Raw genomic sequence first — 27,433 nt, forward strand, 5'->3', positions numbered from 1 at the left:
CCTCTGCAACAGTGAGCCACACCTAGTTAGCCTCTCATTGGCAATTCCAGATTCCCTAGTACAAATTGATGCACTGGTAGGGGGTGGGGAGGTGGGTCAAGAGGCACATAGATCTGCTCTCACCAGGGCCAGAGGCTTTTAGAAGTACAGCATGACATGATTGGTATAAAGACCTCCTTGGGTGGGGTTTGGGAATCTAGCTTAATGCCCAAGGAGCAAGTTTCTTTCCATAGTAAGAGCAGTGATCTTAATATCTTAAACCCCTAAAACCTTATAATTGAGGAGCTTAGGTTCAGCTAGTTGTGGCAGAGCTGGATCTGGAATTCTGGCTACTCAATCTCCAGCCCAGCATTCTCTTTTAGAATGAGTTGTCAGAGGTTTCTTCTCATGTCCAGGATGATGCCAATGTGGTAATAGTCTAGTGCCAGGAAGGTTGCTGGTTATGATGACACCAGACATTGAATCATTAAAAAAGGAATAGGCCTTTGTGATAGGCTGTGTTTAGGCTGCGTTTTCCAAAGACGGCCACACCATCCTTCATCCCATGTGTAACCCACATATTTCTCCAATGAGTGGTGGGGTCTACGTCCCTTCCACTTAAAGCTTGGCAGAATTCTGTGGCTTCCTCAATCAATAGAGCAGAAGTGATGCTATGTGAATTTTGAGCCTAGATTAGCAAATTCCCTTCATATTCACCATGTTCTGTTGGTACACTTGCTCTTAGAACCTAGCCCAAACTAGGCCCAATGGAGAGGCCATATGTAGGTGTTTAAGCTCAGAGCTCAGCTGAGGTGTCAGCCAACAGCCAGGATCAACTGTTAAATATATGAGAGGAAAAAGCCTCCAGATGATTCTAGTCCCCAAGCCATTGAGAAACCCCCAGAGTTTGAATGTGAGGCCCCAGAAATCAAGGAGCCATCTCTGCTATTTCTTGTCTGGATTCCTGACCCACATAATCTGTGAATATAATGAGGTAGTTATATATGTATACATGTGCCATGTTGGTGTGCTGAACCCAGTAACTCATCATTTAACATTAGGTATATCACCAAATGCTACCCCTCCCCCCTCCCCCCACCCCACAGGCACATTGTGCACATGTACCCTAAAACTTAAAGTATAATAAAAAAAAAAGATTTCAAAAATAAAAAAATATGTAACAACACATAAAAATTCTGATTAAAGGAAAGAACAAGTTTTACTCTGCACACTGCAGAGCTAATAAGTAAAAATATATACTCTCATAAGTAAAAACTGTCATATTCTATGTTTATAATGTGTGGAGAATTAAGAGTAAAAGTTGACGTAATTAATTTAAAAAAATGAGGTAGTTATATTGTGCCAGTGAGTTTTGGGGCTAGTTTGTTATACAACAATAATAACTAGAACCACACTGGTAAATCATTTTAAATCATCTATCACCAAAACCTTTAGGTCTTAGAGACTATTTTTCTTGGGTATCTTTATCCTATCCATCATTTTAAGAAGAAAGCCTCCCATTGTATTACTACTGGTTGTTTGATTAAAACAGCAATAATAGCAACATATGCATTAAACTCAAAGTCCTGTATTTGTGAACACTTGTTTCATTACCCATTGCTGTAGCGAATTTATAGTCAGTGTCTGTCATTTTATAATAAGGCAGAATACCCTCATGGCATATAGAAGCATCCTAAAGATTGTCTATTCCCTATATTTTATTCCATTCTTAGAATATTTTCTTTTCAGTTAATGCTGACTTTTCCCCTAGGTGTGGCAAAGCTGAGAGATTCCAGGTGTTTCCTTCTCTCAGTACTTGAGAGAAGCATCAATTCTGATTTTAGCAATTTCTGGAGGATGTTAGTGTCCAATCCCATTGGGCTGAGAAAGCTGGACTCCAGCAGCTTTCCTCCTCACTCAATGCCCAACCCCCACAGTGATAGGCATGGAACTTCCGGCTTTGGCATTCATTGGCATTCACTGGCATTTTCCTGTGGTCCTCAGCCATGCCTTCTTTTCATCTGTTTGCTCCCTGATATGGTCTGAATGTGCCTCCCAACATTCATGTGTTGGAAATTTAATCCCCAATGCAGTGTTGGGAGGTGGGGCCTTTGGGAAAGTATTTAGGTCATAAGGGTTCCACCTTCATAAATTAATTAATGCCACTATTAAAGGATTCTGGGAGTGAATTTGCTTTCACTTGCCCTTCTGCCTTCCCCATATGCAGCAAGAAGGCCCACACCAGATGCCAGAGATTGATCTTGAACTTCCCAGGCTCCAGAATGGTGAGAAATAAATTTCTCATCTTTATAAATTACCTAGTCTATGGTATTCTGTTATAGCAGCACTAATAGACTGAGACACTCTACATCACTTCAGTCATGTTCTAATAATTACACATCGACAGAGCCCTAGTGTGTTTGCAGAATAATGCATGATCATATCTCCAACATGAATATTTGTCATGTGTTGGGCGCTGTGCTGAGTAGTTGGGATACAAAGATAAAGGAGATGTAGGGCAGGTCTGTAAGAGGCTCACAGTCATCACAGAGCTTGCATCTCCTCCTCCATCAGCTGCCTGCAGGGTCTGCTGCTGTCCCTATTCGGTTTCCCACCCTCCAATCACTGATTTTCAAGGATAAACAAAAGCAAAGCTTCCACTAACTGTGAGACTTGGGAGCATTTCTTAATATTACTGAGTCTCCATTTCTTCTTGTGTAAAATGGGAAGGATACTGCCTGGTACATAGGTTGTGGGAAAAATAAAATACAACGTAAGATTCAGAGTTCAAAACTTAGCATATAAGAGGAATTCAGCAAATGCTACTATTCTTTCTTGCTCTGACTCCATGCTACTATCCCAAATTACTCTGTTTTATACTTTAAAACCGCTTTTATGCCCCATTCCTCTGGCTGCCTGCCCATTCAATTATTCTGGGGGAATTTCTGTGAAAAAGAAAAGTGGCAGGGTAAATCATAAAGACTATAAATTTCAAGTTCAATATGTGCCATCCTGATAGTATTTTAAGAGTCATCCAACCTCACCCCCTCATTTTACAGAGGTAACTTCATCTCCTGGGTTTTTTTTTTCCTTTCATTTATTTATCTAAACCATCCTCCTCATACACACTGTAAACCCAGCCTCTGTGTCTCCATTTTGGTCAGATGGAAAATCCCTCCTTGAATTCTCTCCAAATTCTAAGTCCTTTTCCAAAGGAGTGGTTTATTAACTGGAACATACAGGTACATGGTGTGTGAAGGGAGGATGGCAGAAGGTGCCACAATTATAAATATGGGAAGGAAAGAGGTGTAGTGTGAAAAACTTAATATTTTAATAAAAGACCATATTTTAAAGTTTAAGGTCATCTCTCAAAAAAAAAAACCTGTGATCATTCATTTTCAAAAATGGCCACAATTCTTCATGTATCCACATGTTTTGCAATATAACTTTGCAGCTTCTCCCACCAAGAGGTGATGTTTATTTTCTCACTCCTTGGATTTTAATTGGTTTTGATGTTCTTCTGGTTTCAAGTCTAGGTCTCAAGGGATTTGCACACTTCTCATTCTCTTAGAAACTGTCACTGCCATATGAACAAACCTGGTCTTACCTACTGAAGGACAAGAGACCACATAGAGCAGAGCTCAGTTGTTTTAAATGAAGCCGCCCTAGATTGGCCCACAACTAGCTAATACCCAAATATGTGATCAAACCCAGCCATGATCACCTAAGTGGCCACCCAACCCACAGCTGAGCATAGCTGCATAAGCGAGTCCAGCTGAGACCAGAAGAAACACCCAGCCAACTCATAGACATGTGAGCAAAAATTCATGCTTATTGCTTGCAGCCACTATCTTTGAGTGGTTTTGCTACAATAGCTAACTGATACAAAGCTTATAGAAAAATAAAACTGAAAAAAATCTTCTTAGTGGTGGTTCTCAAAGCAGCAGGTGAGTTACAAATGTCCAAATTTCTGGGGTTTAGGAAGAATGAGGTTTTGATATTCTTCATTTTCTTTCAAAAGGAATATCAACTTTAAAAGGCTGAGAAACACTTCTTTTGAGTTATAAAGCCTCGCACAGCCTGAACGCTGTGCAAAAAGCCTGATTAAAATTGAGTGTATTCACCTTTAAACTGACATCTGACATTGGAAATAGTTAGAAAATGAAGCTAGGACTAGGGGAAGAAACAGAAAGATTAGGGTAAGCATTTATTTGCATTGCCTTTTCACCCTTCCCCTGCTTCTGGGAATGCTGCTTTGGATCATGTAGTTTAAATAGGAGTTGCCAGTTTTCTACCTTGCCTCCTTGGCAGTAATGATTGATCTAGAAATTGGCATACAACCCTGGCAGACTCACAGAATCGTTTCTTGAGATTTTAAACACTAGAACCAAGCAGAAAGGTAAGGCAATTTTTCTCCTCTGTTGGCAGAAGCAGAGAGAAGTAAGTGTAGTGCAGTTATTACTTCTGGCACTCTCAAAGAAGCCCATCACACGAAGAGAAGCAGAGACAAGAGGCAGCAGCCATCTTGGGGGCATCTGAGTTTCTGGTTTCAAATCATTTCTGGCCTTCCCATGGTTTAATGACATGAGCAATAAATTTGCCTTTTCTCCTAAGCAAGTTCAACTTGCTCTCAAACACTTGCAACCAAGGAGAGTCTGTAGATGAAATCAATAACAGAGAACATCTTGCAAAGCTTGCTTTCTCAGTGCAGCTTTGAGGAAAAAAAATGAACTGGAGAAAGATAAGTTACATGTGGCAGACATGGAGAAGCACTAGTCAGATCTTTCAAGAAAGCACTCGCTGCCCAGGTGGAAAGAATGTAGTTGTCTAACAGCCTCCAGCTGTGAGCAACCTCATGGTCTGCCTCCACTTTCAGAGGCACACTATTTTAAGGGCAGCCACCAACCAATGACTAAGCAAGGCACCTCATAAAAGAACTAGGCATTTCCACCCAATGCAGGATGCCTATAGTGGGCAATTTTCCCTCCAAATTCTCCCATTTGGCTGGCAGATGCTTTGCCAGTTTGGCAACACACTCTAGACTCTCCTCCATACACAATCCCATTCGTTCCTTTTTTTTTTTTCAAAGATGTTATTCCTCAATAAAGCTTTTTTATTTCTCAGTGTCCATTTTGGGAAGCCCTAAATTTAGTGTTTAATGGCCTTTCCCCAGCAAATTTAAAATAATTCAACCAAAACCATAAACATTTTCATAGCCATCTTGTCTAGAATAGGCGGAAAGAAAGGATCCTGTCTAGGAGCCATGAGCAGGTAGACATGACAAATATCTCCCTCTTTCCCCTTTAGCCCACATATCTTCCCATCATTACATGGGCCACATGGCAATGGTGTAGGCAAATCAAAACCACAGATTAGGAAAGCTGTCCTGGTCCATCTGATATACCTGTGGTGTCTGTGGACTTGCCTCCAACTATCTGCCCTCCTCTCCTACCATAGCCCCTTCATTTGCCTCACCTCCTGCATCATCTGTGGAGCAGGATATTAATTAGTGAAACATCAGTTTGAATGCTGCAGACCTTGTACACTTCTCAGCCTCTTTTTTTTTTTTTTTTTTTTTGCATGCTTTCCATTATATCTAACCTTGAAGCTTCCAAAGATGTGATAGGTAGCTGGAAATGATTCTGAGCCCGATTCTTCATTTTGTTTTCTACGGGTATACTTGAAAAAAATTAGAATGGGAAGAAATTCCAGCTTGTTCACACCTTGACTTAGGTAGTTACTGGCAGGATGACTTACCTTCAGTCCAATAGAATTCCTAGCAGAGCTTAATATTTCTCCAACCTGATTAGCATAGAGCACATTAACCTAATATGCAAGAATCAAATATTTTAAGCTCCACTTGTTTATTCGAAGTTTCACAGATACCATTTCTTTAACTTTACTCAAATTCAAAGATATAATTGCTGTTTTTTTTAATATACAATCACTGTGTAAATAGTCTCCAAAGATGAACACCAACCATTTCTGAGTCTTTTTGCCCTCCCCTCCAACCTGGGATGGCCCTGGGAGTGCTTTGACCCAATACCATATGGGGAAAATGATATCTGGGATTACTTCAGAGGTCAGGCCTTAAGAGTACTGGCAGCTCCTGCTTCCTCTCCAGGAACCCAGCTGCTCTTCTGTCAAGCCACATGGAGGAGACAGCAGCACCATTGGCAGCCATGTGAACAAGCCAGCTCAGTGATTCCAGCCCAATTGAGTCCCCCAGATAGCTGCAACCCCTGCCAATACCACAAGGAGCAGAACTTCCCAGCTGAGTCTAATAACGCTATGAACTCAAGAGAGATAATATAATGGTTGTTTGAGGATGGTTTGTTACATGGCAATAGATAAGCAATAATTTTCAGATATTCCTACTCAAGAAGTAATATAAAGGTATGGAAAATGGACTCTCTTACACACTGCTGGAGGAAGTATAAGTTCATACAATTAATTTGAAGGGCAATTTGGCAGTATTTTCTAGCATTTGAAATCTAAATGTCCTATAACTCAGCAATTCCACTTTTCAGTATCTATTCCAAAAAATCACCCACACATGTGCCAAGGAGCAGGTACAAATATACTTATTTCAGTCTATTTGAGAAAGATAGAGAGGCAGAGAATATTTACCAATGTAGAAATGGCTTATATGTCTAACATGGAATATTTTGTATCTGCTGAAAGAATTAGGTAGATCTACATGAACCAAATAACACATATCTCCAGTACATTATTGAACAAAAATAATACATTACAATACTATATATAGTAAAAAAGCATTTGTGGCAAAAATACGCATGGCAATACCATATATTTGCAATTGCCTATGTATCTAAGTGCATAGAAAGTCTGATGGAATTAATTATATATTTAGGATAGGATAGTCTATGCTGTGATAATAAGCAACTCTAAGGTTTCAACAGCTTAACATGATACAAGGTTTTGCTTTTTTATCCTCACAAAACTTGTGATATGGGTTGGGTGACTTACTGTACTCTCATTTTTGAGACATTTACATAATTTCCATTATTTGTCACCATTAGACAATACTGTACTGCACATACACATGAGAAGCTAAACATCTCTTTACACATGTATCACTTTAAAGTTTTCAAACACTTTTCACATTTATTTCAGTTTACGCTACATGAAAATCCCATGTGCTAAACAAGCCAGTATATGACAGGATTACTCAACAACTGAAATAAGATATCTCCAATGTGGTTCTCCTCCAAATGGTTACTTAGAGGTCTGGGTTGCTACCATCATGCATGTATTTACACAATCTGGTATGTGTGGCCTTCAGGGTCTCTGCACCAGACGGAGGGAGGGATGGAAGGGGGACATTGGCTCTTAAATGCCACAGCCTAGAACTAGCAACATGTCATTGTTGCTCACAGTCCCTTGACTAGTACAAGTCATATGGCCCAAAACTTACTACAGTCTCATTTTTGAGACATTTACATAATTTCTACTATTTGTCACCATTACAGACAATACTGTAGTGCATGTACACACAAGAAGCTAAACATCTCTTTACACATGTGTATCACTTTGAAGTTTTCAAACACTTTTCACATTTATTATTTCAGCTTAAGCTACATAAAAATCCCATGTGCTAAACAAGCTAGGTATGATTCTCCTTCATTTTACACAGAGTGAAATTGAGGCCCAAAGAATCTTGACTAAGGTTTCATGGCTACAAAAGAGCAGAGACTTAAAATGAACTCTGTGATGCCCTGAGTCCAGTTCTCTTTTCCTTAGGGATATGCCAACAGATTTCTGCCTTATATGATATCATTTAAGATGCCCTCAGTATGTGTGAATTAAAGGAACTTAGCCAGAGAATAGATAAGGATTTTAAGGACAAGAAAGAAATTGCTGTTCCAGGAATCTGGGTCAGAGTGATTCTGAAAAATGTTTGTTTTCATGTCTGTCTCCCTAACTAGAGTATGATTTTCTAAACGAGATTAGGCCACATTTGCCTCTATAATCCCATTGTCTGGCACAGGGCCTGACCCATGTTGAGCACTAGATAAATATTCATTGAAAGGATGGATGGACGGATGGATGGATGGATGGATGGATGGATGGATGGATGGATGGATGGATGGATAGATGGGTATGCTTTCTATATTCTCTATCATAAAGTCATAGCATTTAAGACCATGAATAAATCTAGAACCATGCTACTCAAATGTGGTCCTTGAAGCAGAAGTATCAACATCACTGGGAACTTGTTAGAAATGAAGAATCTCAGACCCCACTCCAGACCTACTAAATCAGAATCTTCATTTTAACAAAATCTGAAGATGAATCATAAGCATTTTAAAGTTTGAGTAAACTCACATGCACCGGTCTTGAATTAACTCCTCTTATTGTATATATAGGAAAGTTCTGTAGGTCACTGACAATCTCCAAGATGCCTCAAGCATTGGATGGAAGTCAAGCTGGAAGCAGTTTCACCCCTCTGCCCTCATTAATCTCATGCTTCCTTACATCATAGCCTGTTTTCAACATAGAAGAAATGTACAATAAGTGGAGTTTGCTTAAGTTCAATACATTCAGTGTCTGTGCAGGGCGGGTCAGGGAGGTAGTCTTTAATGATAAAATTAACACATCATACTTGTAACACAGGAGAGTTAGTGGCATACAGGAAGTAGCACCTCAGTGTTACAGGTGAATCTTCCTTTTCTCACCTGTGATAGAATTCCTTTTGATCCTCTGAGACATCCTTACCAAGGATGGTCATGGTTCTCATCTTTACCACCATTGCGTTCAGGGCAGAGCATGCTAAGAATAATTCAGGAGTATACAGGAGGAAAAAAAACACTAATACTGACTCAGACATTTTCACAAAGATGACCTCCATTAATCCTTATACTACCCAATAAAGCAGGTATTACATGCATTTCACAGAAAGAGGAAACTAAGCTCAAACAAGGTGAGCAACTTGTCTTAGTCAGTCTGTAAATGCAGAGTCTTCTGTCACAAAGTCTAAGATGATCTGATATCAATCCTCCTAGACTGACTCAGGTGAAGAATATTCAGTGTAAATAATAATATCCATTTCCCCAGTTTAGGATGATGCAATGAGGGCAGAGGTCCACTGGATCCCTTTGAAAAAGCTGGCAGAACTGCTCAATTATTAGTCTCCTGGCCACACTCCAGCCACACTCAGGCACAGGGCCCTGAAAGATTGCTCTAAACTCTTCCAACTGCAGATAGCTCTTCCTCTGCTGTAGAGATATGGCTGCTCTCCATAACATCAACTCAGATGATTATACATAACAAGCATCACGACTTGCCCAGCATTATCAGCACAGGTGGGCAAGTTGCCAGGAAGCCAGGAGCCTCTAAACTGCATCTAGATCTGGAAAAATTTTGCAAACTTTGGATCCCCCAAATTTCTGTTCCTTGATACACAAAGCTGGAAGATGATTTCAAGTGAGAACACATGGAAATCAAGGAACTTTATGCCTCCAAGTAGAAGTGTCTCATGACTTGATAAGAAACATGATTTGAAAATCAACCACTGTTCAAATCAGAGGCTAAAAGTAATAGATTTTTCAACATTTTCTAAAATCAGGGAACTGAGGACCAAAGAGGTAAAAGGTCCCAACCAAGGCTATGTGGCTGGCAGACGGCAGGAAAGAATTGGAACCTTGGTCCAGTTCATACTTTTCCCATTTTGTGAGATGATCTTTACCATGTTTATACCCACTTAGTAGCCCTCTCCTCTTTTCTTTTAATGTTATTGCCCTAAGTGATCTCTTCTAGTATCATGGCTGTGAAAATACTTACATGCTACAAACTTCAAATTCATATTTCTGATTCTGATACCACTCTGATCATCCAAAGTATGTACAGCTAACTTGACCTCTTCACTTGGACGTCTAACAGGCATCTCAAACTTAATTTGCCCAAAACAGAACTCCATCCACCTCCCCTAACCAAAGTTGTTCTACCCTAAGTGTTCTTTACTTAAATACACCGCCCTCCGCTTGGTTGCTCAATTCAAAAATTTAAGAGTCATGTTTAATCCTCTTTTTCCTTCACTCCTCACATCCAATCTATTAGCATGCCTCATTGGCCATAACTCTGAAAGGTGTACCCAGTCAACCCACTTCCATCATCACCACTGCTCTCATCCCCTCTCACTTGGAGTTATCCTAATCAGCTTCCTTGCTTCCCCTCCTGCTCACCTCCCACCCACTTCCTAACACTTAGAATGGTCTTTGAAAGCATGCATCATCAGGTCATGTCACTACCCACTTCAAGCCCTCCAAAGGCTTCTTGGTGTGCTTAGAATCAATCCAAATGCTGAATCGTGGCCTATAAGGCCCCATTGATTCAGCTCCTGACTACCTGGTTGACATCACTGCCTATCACTCTACCTCTCACTGTCTCCACTTCAAACAAATAGATCTCTTTTCTGCACCTTGAACATGCCAACCTAATTCCAGACCATGGTCTTTGCTCTTGCTATTCTCTTAGCTCCAATGACCTTTCTCCAGATCTCCTTATGTACATTCCCTCCACTCAGATATACCTTTGCACATGTAACTCCCTCAGGAAGGCCTCTCTGGCCATACAATTTTAAGTTCTCCTCCATCTCCTACTCATTCTGTAGCACATCACTCTGTTTTGTTTACTTTATAGCACTTAGTATATTTATTCACTTGTTTATTGTCTCTGTCTCCAGCACCATATCTTCTCCCCAAAATGCTGGCTCATTTAGGTCATGGATGTCTCTCCATTATTGAGAAAAGAGGTTCACAAACTCTTTCTATAAAGGGCTTTGCAGATCATATAGCCTCTGTTGCAACTACTCACCTCTGCCATTGTAGCATGAAAGCAGCCAAATGATATGTAAGCACATGAGCATGGCTGTGTTCCAATAAAACTTGGATGAGCTAGATTTGGCCTATGGGCCATCATTTTCCAACCTCTTATCTACAAAAGTATTTGTCATGTAAAAGATTCTCGGTAAGTATGTATCAAATGCATAAATGAATGAAAGATCTAAAAATCTCTGGGAGAAAACACCAAATACTCAGTAGGATGGTTCTTGTGTACATCTGGCAATAGCTTATTATTAACAGAGCCTCATTGTCTCTTATGTACTTACCACTATAACTTAATATTTCTATTCCTCTGAGACTTACCAAAAAACTGAGAATATGTTTTGTAATAAGATCAGATTGTTCAGTTGGACCCAAAGGTCTTGGGAGATATTTATGAACCCTACTGAAGGACTCTTTCTCTGTTTAGACCAGACAAGGCCTGAATATAGAAAGAATAGTGTGTCCCATCAGTCAGCTGATGATAATAATGACCCATGGCTTCTAAAAGATTTTTAGGGAATTACCCACTACCAATGTTTTCATCTGATTCTGCTACCCCCTTGAACTGTATTCTTAACCCTTTTCCACATGAATTTTCCCCCATATAAATTTTATAAAGGATAAAAATTATTATTAAACACTATAATTTATCATGGGACTGCACCTGCCCAAGACAGGATTACTCAACAACTGAAAAAGATACAAACACAACTGGAGACTTGAATTTAAGGTAAAGCATTTTCTAGTTTGAAAATGGGATTTCCAAAGTCCTGGATAGGGAGAGGCTAAGATTTGCCCCTGGGAGGGTACTACCCATCTTCGCCCTTTTAAGAACAACAAAGTGTACAGGCTCTTAAGATCACCCTCACTCATAGTCCAGGATAACAAAGAGATGAGTTACTGCTTCCCAAAGAATGATTTCAGTCTCTACAACTCCACTGAAAGAAGAATTCAGAATTCATTATCTGTAGAAACAATGCTGTACTTGGTGCCTAGATTTTATTAAAATAGTGTTGAGATGCTGAACTTTAGGCACATCAAAGGTTAAGAAGACATTTCTGGGCATTTCACCATCACTCCCAAGAAAACTCATTTCAAGTAGAAGGAGACTTTGAGTAACAAGCAAATGACCTCCAAATAAAAACCCTTAGGGCACAATGTGTTCAGAGAGGGGAGGAGGACACATTCAGATCCTCTAAGTGAGAAAGAAAGCAGAATAGGAATAAAGTGAGAAAAATCATTCCCTAATCATTTGGTGGCTGGTTTTGTTTTTTTGTTTTTGTTTTTGATTTTGTTTTTGTTTTTTTCTGTCCCCTCTGAGCCATGGAAGATACTGGAGTTAACAAAAATTTTATAAACTAAAGAAAGCAACTTTATAATCTAAAAGAAAGCAACTTTCCCTCCTGTCTTTTGAATTCTTATTCCTGAAAGAATGGATAATGAATCAGGAGATGAGCAAAAACGTATCTTTTACAAAGCTCTAGTCTTCCAAAAGTCTCTAAACTCAAACGAAACCTTTTTAAAGTAGTTTTGTAAAAGCTCAAGGTATGCCATTTCCAGAAAGTTGCAGATGAGCACCATTGGCATTACCCAAATTCTGTCACACATTGAGCAATGAAATTCAGGAATTGGACAATGACCTCTTGGCATATGAAAGAATTAAAAGAGGGCTAGGGCTTAGGGCAGGGATCTAATCGGGGAGGATGTGCTGTCCAAGCCTCCCTCCCTCCTCCTTTCCTCGCCTTCAGGTAGATGGAAAGAAAGGTTCAGTCATCTGAGAGAATATCCGATTGTCCTTGAAATTTTTTTCCCTATTGACAAAGCAAGGCATGAATGAATATTCAGTCTGATTAGATCTTCCACTTGACAATGACTGTCATTACCTGGCTAACAAAATAATATACATCTGTGTATGTGAAACCACAATGGCTGATGTTTCAAATTCTTAATACATTATAATCTGGTTGGATTGAGTGGCTAACAATGCCACAATCCCATGAGGTAAACAAAACATTCATCTCTGGATTTCCTCACCTCAGATCTAAGCATCTCCTGTCCATGCAGTACTGAAGATTTTGCACCATCACTTCTGTTTTTCTCATAAATTCTTTATGAGGCTATTAGTCTCTAGGGTGCTCTTCTGAAACCAGAAGGAAATTTGGCTCACACACACACACAAAAAAAGTTGCCATATAAAGGCAACTGCAAAATATAGTGGGAAGTTGGTGGAGGATGGAGTTTCACTGAGAATGGGACAGCAACATGATGGAAAGAACATGAACTTGAATTTCAGTTCTACCACTTACTAGAAAGATGCCTTTGAACAAGTCTCAATTTCTGAATCTTCATTTGTTGCTCTGTAAAATGGGGTCATATTATCTCACAAAGTTGTCACAATAATTAAAATGAGATCTTGTTTTCTAAGTCACCTGACATATATTAAGTGTGAAATCATTTTTCTTTCTCATTTTCTTTTTTATAACGCTCTCATAAATAGTAGGTGTAAGAGTTCTTCCCAGGATGTCTCATCAGAATTCAGAGAGTTACCTTTGCTGTTCCTTCCAGCAAGATCTGCAGTGTATTATTGCAGAGTCAGCTCGTGAAGTATGCATGAACTCTCTCTAAACTGGTGTTTTTAGCCAAGAAACAAACCACTTCATTGTAGGTGCCTGTGAATCAAAAGGGAAGGTTTCCATAGTACTTTTGCCTGTGCCAAATCCATACATCTGCATTTTTCAAGGGAAATTGCTGAAAAGATATTAAGAGAAAAACTTCCCTATACAGATATGTCTGAAATCCCCAAATGCCACCCTAACAAAATCAATATTTTTATGAAATTGACAAAAGTTTAAAAAGAGAATTTTCTTTCTCCTGCAGCTTTCCTTGATTCATGAATTGCAGCATCAAAGAACTTAAACCAGAAAATACACCAAACTGTTGTTGTCACATTGATTCATGGTTGGTTAGATAAAACAAATAATCTTAGCTTTTAGTATCAACATGTCGAAATTTCAATAGCAGTGAAATATTGTCCATTGTTCATTCATTTATTGATTCATAAAATACGTATTGAATGCCTAACTTGGGCCAGGCAGTGTTCCAGGTGCTGGGAATAAAACAATGAATAGACAGGCAAATCATTCCTGCATTAATGGAGTTTAACAGTCTAGTGAGGAAAGAGATAATAAACATGTAAACGAATAAATAAATGGTATAATTTCAGAGAATAAATACTATGAGAAAATATAACAAGATAACGCAGTTCCCTGGAAGTCAGCACTCAGACATTCTGAGACAATATTGCTTGAGCAGAAAGCTGAAGAACAAAATAGAGTCATAAAAAAATTAGAAGATAAAGCGGTCAGCCAAATGGAACAGCAAATGCCAAGGCCATAAGGCAGGAGCCAGGTAAGCATGTTTAGGGGCAAAAAGAAGGCTACTATACCTGGGCAATAAGGTCAGAGAGGAGGTGGGCTGTGCATCTCAAACCTGATTGTGAATAAAAATCACCTGGAAATCTTGTTAAAATGCAGAATCTAATGGGGGTGGGATGCTGAGATTCTACATTTCTAAAAAGCTACCAGGTGATGCTGACACTGCTAGTTCATAGAGCTCACTTTGAGTAGCAAGGACATAGGGCCTTGCACACCATGGGAAAATGAATTTCCTGCGAGTTGAAATAGAAGGCCACACTTATCTGATGCCTTTACACCTAGAAAGCCCTTCTCAGTTACACAAAGGTCTCATTACCCTTTGGCATTTCCACACACCCACTACAAAACTAAGTACTTGATAAATGCACCATAAATGCCTGCATTCAATGATAAGGCTAATGATCTAGATCCTGCTTTGTGGTTTGCCTAGTATTGGAAAGAGTAGCAAAAATAATGATGTAATGGGGTGAAGCAAAAAGTGGTGAGTGAATGGAAAGACTTTAGATGGGCTTTGAATCATATTTCTGGGTTCAAATTCTACATTACCATCTACAAGGTCTTTGGCAAATTGTTCAACTTCTCTGAGCCTTTATTTTCTCATTTAAAAATAGAAATAATATCCACTTCATCAGGGAGATGTGAAAATCACATGCAATAGTAAAGTGGAAGTTTCTTGCAATAGTAGATGCTCCATAAATGTTTATTCTCTTTTTCTCTTCTTTCCAAGGTCCACCTGACTGTCAACACGATGACATTTGTATCAAATAGCATCACGAATCTGTGAATTTTGTAGAGCACAACTGATTTCCAAATTAGGAATTCAGGGCCCACATCCATGTGAAGCAACTGATTATTCCTATAGCACTTGCTTATTGCTGCTTTAAAGAAAACCTAGATTCTAGCCCTTATTCTAAACTAACCTGCTGGACAATCTTTGGTAAGTCCCTTGTCCATCTATGGACCTTAGTTCATCTGTTAAATGAAAGAGTTGGAGTAGATGGTCCTGCCCAACCTTGGCATCTTCTGACTGTGATTAACTTGGTGAGAGTTCTGAAAGTGGACTTGTTTTCCAGAAAACATAGCAGAATCCTTGTAGCTGAGATATTTGGGTGATGAGATTCAAATTCATGAAGAAGACAGGATGAAACCCTTGTATATTAACCTTGGCCAGCAAATATCCTCATTCCTTTCTCTCCAATCCCATTATTGCAGGGACTAGAGTGCCAGAAATATTATCTTATTCTCACTGGATCTTTCATATTTTTAAAAGCAACTGACATCACAGGAAAAACTTGAGAACAAGACTTAATGGAATCAAATGTGCACTTCTCTGTTATTTTACTTTGTCACATAATAATGTTATAACCCTTTATTTTCAAAAATATCTTTGAGATGAAAACAAATCTATAAAATTGCTAGTATTTTTAAAACTTGAAAAAGTTTAAGGAGGATGTTTATGGCTTTATATCTGTTCTGGTCTTCAACCATCTACTCCTCCAATCCTCCCTCACCCCAGTTTAGGGTTTTTTAAGGTTTTTGTTTGTCTGCTTGGTTTTTATTATTGTTTTTACAATTAAATAAAATAAAAATTAAAATAACCCCAACAGCAAATATCTTCAGATGCTAGAGGATTACAACTCCTGAGAGGCTTAGGTTGAAAAAGGAACTAATGCATCTTGTCTAAAGGTGTATATTTGAGATAAATCGTTTTCCAATGAATACTTAGAAATAAGCAGAGATTATTTCTTAAAAGGTCAGGTGCTTCATCTCAACAGAATGTTTTTCCACCTCTTTCAGAGGAGACCACTTACTTTCAGATATATCAACAAAAGTGCCCCTTCCCTTAGACCTAGCCAAAATGAAGAATCTCTTTATAGCTTTATTTACTCTCTGCCTTTGAGAGTTTTGCTGTTTGCCTTCTTTATCCTGATGCTTTGAAGGCTTGGAGTATTGAATAAATGGAGAAAAGATCTAAGAACCAAGTAATGGAGACACACAGTTCAGTTTCAGAGAGCTCACGGCAACCACAGAACACACGATGATTAAGAGATTAAATTATGTGACCAAAGGTAGACCCTAAATCCTCCAAATTATATATGTTTCCCAGATCCATGGGTCTACAGAGCTGGCAAAGGAGCAGGTGCTGCTTACCCAAAACATTGGCTCCTTTAGCATCATCTGTGCTCTTTCCCAGCCAAGGGCACCTATAATTACCTCCCATAAGCTGAACTCTCAACCCTGCCTCGCTCCACACATACCCACTGCTGAAAATTGTATTGGCAATTAATTTGTCAGGAAAATGCTAGGGGGTGTGAACACTGGTAATTTTATACCATAGATATTCAAATTAAACCTCGAGCCTGAGTATTTTCAGTGTCAAATTGTAGCATAGTTGCAGAAAAAGAGAGAAACACAAACTTCCTCCTGCTATCTCCTGACTAGAGGTGAAAAAGAATGTTCCATGTGGATGTGATAACCTTGGCTCCATCTCTAGGGTTGACTTGGGAACATGAACAACAAAACACACTAATTATGGGTGATACCTTTTGTGCTCCTCTTTGAGTGAAAGGAGATGGGGTTGGTGGTTGTTCTGTATCATTCCTCAAGTGACAAGAATCATTTTAATGACCAGTAGCGTCAGATACCAATAACTTGTAGAAGCCCACTCCAATTCTGCACCTGATTTTCGTGAGATTACTGTGAGAGTACTGTGTTTATAGACCCTTGGTCAATTGACAGCCATGAAAATAGCATAGGACAAAAGAGCACCAGCATAACACCAAACAGAAAGTCCCCCAAACTATCTCATGTACACAAGGAAAGCCTCTGGAACACTGGAGCTGAATCAAAACAAAGAGCTTAAAGCTTCAGATTCTCCTGGGACTATTGTTTTAAAGATTCATTTTGTTAATTATTTTGAAAGAAGAAAGAAAACTAACATTGACAGCCTACTTCAAGTCAAAAATTGTGCATACATTACATCATTTAATCTTTATATCACACTCATTAGGACCCAGGTGCAGTGGGTCATGCCTATAATCAAAATGATCTGGGAGGCTGAGGCATGGTGGTACATGCCTGTACTCCCAGCAACTCAGCAGGCTGAGATGGGAGGATTGATTGAGCCCAAGAGTTGGAGATAGAAGTGAGCTATGATCAGGCCTTTGCCCTCGAGCCTGGTGACAGAACGAGATCATATTATATATATATATATATATATGAAGATGCCTGCTAGCTGCTCCCACAGAGAAGAAACAAATGTGAGTAAACACTGGCTCTTCAAGTGGATATTCTAAGAGAACACATTGCGATTCACTAAAGAAGCAATGGGACCCACAGAGAACAAAGAAGAACAAAGTGAATGATTACAGCCACTGGGGATCCACAATGTCCCCACAAACCCTTTGCAATCCTGGGCACAGGAGAACTCCCCCGACCCATCCGGGCCTGCAGACCAACAAGAAGAACCATCTGGAGTCCATGCAGAGATATCTCTCAAGCCCACATGGAGCACCACAAGCACTGGATCCCAGAGCAGTCTGACACCAGCTGTCAATGTGCTGCCAACAAGGGAAGACAGGCAAGACAGGCTCTTTTGCAAGCCCCTAGGATAGCTGCTACAGCCACAGTACTGAGGAGCAGACCAACTGCAGACCCCACCTCTGCTGCTCCTCACCAGGCAGGGACCACCAGTTGAGGCTCCCAGCACAGCTGCCCCTGCTTGGATACTGTAGAAAGTTGCAGCTCTGGGGTCCTGTGGGATGGAACTCCAAGAGATATAACTGAAAAACCCTCTGCCCTCGCCCCTGTTGCCCTCAGGTTGAGGTGGAAACAAAGAGGCTGAATGCTTTCACACATCTCCAACAAGGACACCGCTGCCCAGATATGAAGAACTGGGCAGACTGCACACCCCACAACTCCCTGCCTTTGCTTGCCACTTCTGGTACCCAGTGCAAGCACCCTGCCTCCACATGAGCATTTCAGCTGCAGTCTAGAGTCCTGAAATCCCTACCCCCACAGGTCTTCCCTCAGGTTCTTACCACCCAAGCATTCTGCCTGCCCCTGCCTGAGAGTTCATCCAGTGACCCAGGGGCCAGCCTGCCCCTCTCTATCGCAGTCAGCACCTGAATCCTGGGCTAGCCTGATCTGGCTCCAGACCCTTCAGGACTCATACATGCAGTCCAGCGGACCATCTAGGGGCCTGGAAACTGAGGAACTACCTATCCCATTCAAATTCTGCTGGCACCTGACCACTTCTCACACAAGCCCAAAGGCATAGCCCCCGCCTTTACACAAAGAAGCAGTGCTATCATATCAGAGAACAGCCCTGCCATAAAGCTATTTGTATCAGGCTGAGTGATGAAGTTGCCCCAAACCACTTTAATGGAGAATCACAAAAGAGGCATTTTCTGAGGCTCTCAGACACATTGGTCTAGACACAGACTACAGTGTGTGTCTGAATGAGGAGTCATCAGCCCTGGAACAGGGGCATGATAGGAAAATAGACCATGTTCCTACCTATCAAAGATGGGGAGCCAGTGCAGATCCCTCATCTCCTTGCCCCGCCCCAGAGATCTCAGTGCATTTCACCAGGGACTCCTCCCAGCCACCCTTGACAGGGCTGGTGCCCGCACTCACCATGGGGGTATTTGTGGGCAAGCCAAAGGCTCCAACTCTGCCTAGCTTTGTTTCTCCACCCCCACAGAGCAAGAAGCACAGGGCACCAAGCACTCTACTGTCCAGCCCATCATGTAAAACAACAGAGAGCACCTCACAGCAAACAGACCATGTACATACCCATCTGTTTGTGCAGCAACTGGCTCATACCTGTCAGCACCGTCTACTGGCCTGTAAGTTGAATCACACAGCCCAATATAAAACTGCCCACAAAAATGCATAGGGTTATAGAAGCAAAGCCAAAAGATGTTACCCAACACACTCTACAGTCCCATCCTCTAGGAAAGGGGAGAAATGGAAATATATATAGGGAAAGAAAAAAAAATTCTACCAGCATGAAAATAAATACAAAAATTAGTAGCACCAAACTCTCCAGATGAGAAGGAACCAGTGTAAGGATTCTGGCACCGTGAAAAATCTGAACATTGTGACACCACCAAAGGATCACATTAGCTGTTCAGCAATGTTCCCTGACCAAAATGGAAATTCAGAAATAATAAATAATTCAAACCATGGAGCAAGGATGCTCAACAAAAGCCAAGACAAAGTTGAAAATCAACACAAAGAAACTTCTACAGAAATCCAGGAAATGAAGAAAGAGATAAACATCTTAAAAAGAAATCAATCAGAGCTTCTGGAATCACCTAAGGAATTTTAAAATACAACTGAAAGCTTTATCAATAGACTAGCCCAAGCAGAAGAAAGACTGTCAGAGCTTGAAGACTATTCTTTTGAACTAATCTGGTCAGACAAAAATAAAGAAAAAAATAATTTTTAAAAAAGAACAGTCTTCAGACACCACCAGAAGAAAGGAAGGTGCTATGTAATCAGTAAGGAGCAGAGGCATTTGGAACTGCTAAAATGCCAGATTACCTTGGTGCCCATCAGCGGAAGACCAAAGATGATGAGAAGGATGACAAGCCCATCCAAGTTCTGGATGAGGCGGATATTGCCTTGCTGAAAACTTATGGTCACAGCACTTACTTTAGGCAGATCAAGCAAGTCGAAGATGGCGTTCAGCAACTTCTCAAGAAAATTAATGAGCTCACTGGTATTAAAGAATCTGACACTGGCCTGGCTCCACCAGCACTCTGGGATTTGGCTGCAGATAAGCAGACACTCCAGAGTAAACAACCTTTACAGGTTGCCAGGTGTACAAAGATAATCAGTGCTGATTCAGAGGACCCAAAATACATTGTCAATGTAAAGCAGTTTGCCAAGTTTGTGATGGACTTTAGTGATCAGGTGGCACCCACTGACATTGAAGAAGGGATGAGAGTAGGTGTGGACAGAAATAAATATCAAATTCACATTCCATTGCCTCCTAAGACTCACCCAACAGTTACCATGATGCAGGTGGAGGAAAAACCTGTCACATACAGTGATGTTGGTGACTGTAAGGAGCAGATTGAGAAATTGCGAGAAGTAGTTGAAACCCCATTACTTCATCCAGAGAGGTTTGTGAATCTTGGCATTGAGCCTCCCAAGGGCATGCTGCTCTTTAATCCACCCAGTACAGGAAGACACTCTGTGTGTGGGCAGTTGCTAATCAGACTGATGCGTGCTTCATTCGAGTTATTGGATCTGAGCTGTACAGAAATATGTCAGTGAGAGGGCTCAAATGGTTCATGAGCTCTTTGAAATGACCAGAACAAAAAAAGCCTGCCTTATCTTCTTTGATGAAATTGATGCTATTGGAGGGGCTTGGTTTGATGATGGTGCTAGAGGTGACAATGAAGTGCAGAGAACGATGTTGGAACTGATCAATCAGCTTGATGGTTTTGATCCTCGAGGCAATATTAAAGTGCTGATGGCCACTAACTGACCTGATAATTTGGATCCAGCACTGATGAGGCCAGGCAGATTAGACAGAAAAATTGAATTTAGCTTGCCTGATCTAGAGGGTCGGACCCACATCTTTAAGATTCACGCTCATTCAATGAGTGTTGAAAGATATATCAGATTTGAATTGTTAGCACGACTGTGTCCAAATGGCACTGCTGCTGAGATTAGAAGTGTCTGCACAGAAGCTGGTATGTTTGCCATCAGAGCACGGTGAAAAATTGCTACTGAGAAGGATCTCTTGGAGAAGGATCTCTTGGAAGCTGTAAGTAAGGTCATTAAGTCTTATGCCAAATTCAGTGCTACTCCTCACTACATGACATACAACTGAACTTTGAAGGCTTTCAATTTAAAACTTTTAATTGGAAATCCTAACCTTATATAGACTTGTTAATAACCACTTCACAAAAAAAAATGGCTTCAAAATTGAAAAAAAGAACAGTCTTCAAGAAGTATGGGATTATGTAAAGTGATTTTAAGAAGTATGGAATTATGTAATGGTATTGTGCAAATCTATGAATTATTGGCATTCCTGAGAAAGGAGAAAACAAACAACCTAGAAAACATATTTGAGGGAATAATTCAAGAAAATTCCCTAATCTTGCTACAGAGGTAGACATCCAGACATAAGAAATCAAGAGAGCACCTGCAAGATACTATACAAAATTAACATCACCTTTCTCAAAGAGCTTAAAACAGAGCTACCATTTGAACCATGGTCTATATACCCAAAGGAATATAGATTATTATACCAAAAAGATACATGCACTTATATGCTCATTGCCACACTATTTACAATAGCAAAGTCATGGAATTAACATAGGTGTCCATCAATGGTGGATTGGATAAAGAAAATGTGGTACATATACACCATGGAATACTATGCAACTATAAAAAAGAACAAAATCATGTTCTTGACAGCAACAGGGATGCAGTTGGAAGCTATCATCCTAAGCAAATTAATGCAAGAGCAGAAAACCAAATACTGCATGTTCTCACTTATAAGTGGGAGCTTAACATTGGGTACACATGGGAACGATAGACACTTAGGACTACTAGAAGGGGAAGGGAGGTAGTGGGGGCAAGGCCTGAAAAACTACCTACTGGGTACTATGCTCACTACCTGGGTGACAAGATAAATTGTACTCCAAATCTCAGCATTACACTATATACCGATGAAATAAACCTGCACATGTACCCTCTGAATTGGAAATAAAAGCATATCTAATATATATGTGTCATCATCTTTTTACAGAAATTTAGGTTTATGGATTAAGTAACTATATGACTCAGCCAGTATCCATTATTTGTATAATTCAAACTCAAGTCTTCTGGGCTTCTCCTTATTCTGAAAAATTCAAATTTCTGTCAAGAACCCCTTAGGGTAGAGAGGAGGACACATGGAATGGGTTAGCATATGAAATTCTTTCATGAGGTCTTCTAATCTACCATGTGTTGATTAACTACATGATATATTTCAAACATATATACACCAAGACCTTGGAATGTTCATAAGTGCTGTTGGGACTAATGAAATCTAGATGGCTGTAAGTGTTACTGAACTCATAGCATCTTATTATTCCATATGTTTTTCCATCAGGGGATACCAAAAGTGTAATATTATCACATAGATAGATGAATATTTTTGCCATTAGGGGTCATTCTCAAGAACCACCACTGTTCACCATACAGCTTCCTGAATCTACTCTTTAACATGTAACGCAAGCTGAGCACCACAGAATTAAATTATTGCACCATGTGGCCACTTACATGACAAATGAAAGCCATCATACTTGACTTTAGGCTCAAGAGAGAAATATTTCACCTGAGCATGGTGACCATTTTGCAAATTATGACCTAAGAAATATGAGGGACTTGATTTTAAAAGTCATATTCTTAGGCATCGCCTCAGATCTATTAAGTCAAACTCTGTGGAGATGGGGCCCACAAAATCATATTTTTTTAAACTCCCTAGGAAATTCTGTTACCCATAAAGTCTGAGAATCACCAGTGAAAATGGATACCATGAATAAGTACTGACTATATAATACTGCATTTAAATAAGATTCAAGGATTAGCATAAACGTACATAGGATGTAAGGCCTTGAACATAGTGGTTCTTGTCCCTGAAGAAAAGAGACTATGAACTGCTAACATGTTATTAGCCAAGCGGGACTTTTTTCCCTATACTGAGATGTGAGGATGCTCTTCCAGACCAAATTTAAGATTTTTTATAAATCCTCTCTCTCTCCTACTTAATATAGCATAGCACAAACATCATTCATTAATATTGATATAGCCTCTGTCCTTATTGTTACTGTTTGCTGCATTTCATTTCATTTGTTTTCACATTCAGATATTTATTCCTTGACATATGTTGAAAATTGAATATGAGAGTTTATCCTGGTGAGTCTGTGAAGATAACTGTTGCCATGAAAACCAAATTGTCCTTAGAAGCTGATAAGAAAATGGAAACCTCAATGTGATGAACAGTGTGGAACCTTGAATTCTCACCATCCAGGATCAGCAAGAAGCTTCCACCTTTAAGGTCAACTTCAAGTGATTGGTAGTGGCCTCCTAGGCACTGTGTGGAGAAAGATTCTGAGTCCACACCTAAGCCTAGACCAAGAGAATTAGAGTAGTGGAATTGATCATGGGCAAGGTGGCAGCAAAGTGCCAGGCATTTGCTATTCTTCCTCTTAGAAGTTCAATATTTGCAGTGGAAATATGTTCCAGATTACATAACATGCAAAGTCAGAATTCCAGAAATTTCTCTTTCATATCTGACATTTAATGTAAGAGAAGCAGGATCCAAAAAGGACAAATTTCCAAAGCTACATAACTACTTGACAATGAATACCAATGCTAGAACCATTTCACACCCATAAAATGTCTCACAATGTGACAAATTCCCTTTAACCTTAGCCATATCTGTTACATAGCTTCTAGAAAGAAAGTTGAGAAAATTTCCACCATGCCAAATCAGCAGGCAGTTCTCCTGAACAGTATGTCATGATGCCGTATCCCTCTATCAAGTTGACCCCCAAACCATCAAAAAATAATCTGTAATAGTCCAACCCCAAAGGAACCAAACCAGATAATGACTGAGTTTGCTCTCTTAAGCAGAAATGCATTTCCAGAAAAGGTGGGGAGAAGGGGGCGGTTATCTGGGATAAAGTCAGCTCTGTGAAACAGAACAGACTGAGTGAATGCCACATGTTGTGATGTGCTTTCTTCCCTGGAACCTACTGAGTTGAGGGCTGGAGTATAGGCCTACAGGAGGGTGGTTATAGATTCTCCTTCCCAAATGCACTTTGAAATGCATCTTCATTGAGCCAGTAATTAAAGAAATGCATTTTTCCTGATGATGGACTTCCGCAGATAGAGATGCTCACAGCTTTATAGATCTCTCACATCTCTAACAATTAGATACCATTCCTCTACTCCAGACAACTGAGACTAAAAGGAAAATTAGCATCATAAGCATTTCAGCACCTTCCTTCTCTTAGAACCACTAGATAGTGCCCTTTCATTTCTCTGCTCTTTCCTTCTAATGGTTTTAAATGGATTTCTTAAAAAACAAATCCTGTACAGAATGTTCCTCCAATCTGTAGAGATAAACACAATTGGTGCCCATAAAGAAACTGATGCTCCATACAAGCAGCTTAATCAGAATCATCCTAGAGTGTAGGCATTGTCTACACATGACTACAGAAAGAAAGGGAATGAAAGCAGAGTACAAGGACTGAGGCAAGCTGGAGGTGGTCCCTGCAGCAGTATCCTGTGATGCTTGGCAACAGGAAATGAGATTAAAGAAATGTATCTCATTCCCCAAATATGAGGCTTTTCCAATTTACTACATCTCCTCTATACCTGGCCAGGTGTGATTAACTACAAGGATAAGGGGTGAGAGGAAAGGAGCAAGAAGCTGCAACTAGATCTTCTGCTAGGTTTACAGGTGGGCTCTACTGGCAGCACAGACGCTAGTTTATTCGGGGACCTTGTGCAAATTAGAAAAAGGTAACCCTTGCTCAAAACACTTTACTGCCATCTGCTGGAATGTTGTCAAAATAACTATTCACATCTAGAGTCACTACAAGAAAATATCCCCTGGAGGAGTGCCCTGTTGCTTACAACCCAAACAATTGTAAATTGAGGTTGCCTTGGGAGGAAATCTAGTCTGGCAGGTGAAACAGGAAATCCCAAGACTGTACAAGCATGGTTTTGGGCCAGTCTATATCAGGAGACCACAACATGTAAATCAAGATAAGGCATAAGCCATGATGAAGCACTCCAGGGGGAGCCCAGGCTCAGGAAGCCAGTGGAGTCATTGCCTCTGCAGTGAGGCTGATCATACAACCAGTTGCTGATGGAGGCAGAAGAAACTCAGCAAGTCCGAGACAGGCCCTAGCACCAACCAGACTGAGGGAGTAGGGCAGACTCCAGTGCACAGAATCAGACACAGATCTTCAGAAAATGAACGTAATTGCAAGGAAATAAGTAATTGCAACACAGGCTGTATAAGCACCCCACCATAGAAGTTAGCACAGAGGGCTGTAGGAGCACATAACAGGTGCACTTAACCTCATCTTGGAGTACCTGAAAAGGGTTCCAGAAGAAGCAGTAACTAAGGTAAAACCTAGATAGAACACAGTTCCTGCCCTCAAGGAGTTTAGAGAATAGGTCTGACCTATCTAATACAGTAGCCAGTAGCCACATGTAGCTATTGAGCCCTTGAAATGTGGCCGGTGCAATGGAGGAACTACAATTTTAATTTTATTTAATTTTCATTTTAAAACTGAAGCAATGCAAAATATTTTTTCCATTAAACACAACTTTATTGTTTGGTAGGATTACGTTTCACTCTAACCATTGCATTGGATAAGATATTACTGTTGTATTGTAATGTACATGTATTTTTCTCCTTTTAGAAAAATTACATGTCACCCTCATTATATTTCTATTAGATAGTACTGCTTTAGACCAAAGAGATAGTCATACAGTCTGAAAAGTAAAGTATTCATTATAATGCTGGGATAGAAATAGGCTCACCTAGTACTCACTGTTATCTGGAAATATTAAACAAAATGCTCAGAAGATCCTAGATGGCAGAGAAAAGAACACGTATTAAAAGCAAATGAATGTAGGCTGAATTTATAAATAAATGGGTGGCACATACTTAAGCAGAGAATGTAGAGGAGCACCTCATAATCTGACAGAGACTTGTCCTTACCCTGGGTTAGAGTCTGTGGCTGTTACAGATGTGGAAATATGATGTTCACTTTTATTACATCAGTCAGTGTGCATTAGGCTACAAATAACAAAAAGTCTAACAGCCAGTAGCTTCAACTTTAAAAGACATCCATGGTTTACTGTTTAAAAACCCAGAGGTAAAAAAATCTATGGGTGGCTCAGCAGGTGAAATGTGTCTTCAAAAATTCAGTAACTACTATCCTTTTCTCCACCTTCCGAAGGATTCAGTGTTTTATCATAGACTTGTCACTTGAAGGTCCCAAGGCAAGAAGCAATAGGGGTGGGAACAGCCAAGTTAGAGAATTTTTCCTTTAGGACATTGACATTCCAGTTCTATCCCTAGCTTCCAAGGAGGCAGAGATAGCAATTATCTGGCAAAGGAGAGCCAGAAAGCCATAATATGTTTACACAAATCCTAAGTGTTCCATTGAAACTGGACATATTGCTGCCAGGAATTATACTGTGGTCCTATTAGCAAGGACTAAAGGAAGGTAATGCATAATGTCTGCAGCATTCACTAATTGTTTCATGATATTTAAATCTCCTATATTCTGATTCTTAGCAGGTAGTTGGCTAAAAGACACTTTTAAATGAGAAAACATAAATTTTTTATAATCATATATAAAGGAGGAGAGCTACGAAAACTCTAGCCAAATCAAAGCTGTAGTAATCCAATGGCAACTTGCCTGTGATTCTCTTATTCTCATTCAGGAAAAGTGGTGTTATCTCAGTCCATTATCTTCACTGAGAAGAACAAGTATGGGATTCACAATGACTGAACTGAAAAACTTGTTTTTACTGAGAAAAAAATGAATTGTTTCTAGTATTCTTATAAAGGGATGAGAAACCTGTAAATTGCTCAGCATTATTGAACCAAGAACAAGTTATTTTTCAAATTTTTCCAAGTAACAATGGTTGTAAATGGAATGCTGTCCTCAGTGATTTTAAGACACATTTCTTAAAAAAAAATATTAGGAGCTATAAACTGAAAACTGAAGAGTGGGAAGCAATAATAAATATCAATAATCTTGGCCACTGAGGAAAAGGAATCTCCATGTGATAATCACATGGAAATTCAAATGTGCCTTCATGATATACTTCATAGTATTCTTGTAAACCACTTCCATGGAATGCCTTGCCACCAGGAGAGGCCACACAGATCACCCTCTGCAAGGACATGTCAGTGCAAAGAAAGGAATGACACAGACATAAATCAAATGAAACTGAATTATGTTTAATAATTAGAAGTACATGTGGGCCTTTCATTTCTAAAGGTATTTATTCCATTTCTATTTGTTTCTAGAAGCTAAAGTGGGTCCTGGCAATACAAGAGAAAAGAGCACTAGGTCCTACCCACAATCTGTTCATAGCCTAATGGGAGAGACACATGGGAAAACAAAT

At 39.8% G+C, this 27,433-nt stretch overlaps 1 pseudogene; it reads left to right on the forward strand.

Moving 5' to 3' along the window:
• PSMC2P1 (PSMC2 pseudogene 1) lies at positions 19,731 to 21,210 on the forward strand (annotated as a pseudogene).

Source organism: Homo sapiens, chromosome 3, assembly GCF_000001405.40.
Source record: "Homo sapiens chromosome 3, GRCh38.p14 Primary Assembly".
In the NCBI taxonomy this organism is placed as follows: Eukaryota; Metazoa; Chordata; class Mammalia; order Primates; family Hominidae; genus Homo; species Homo sapiens.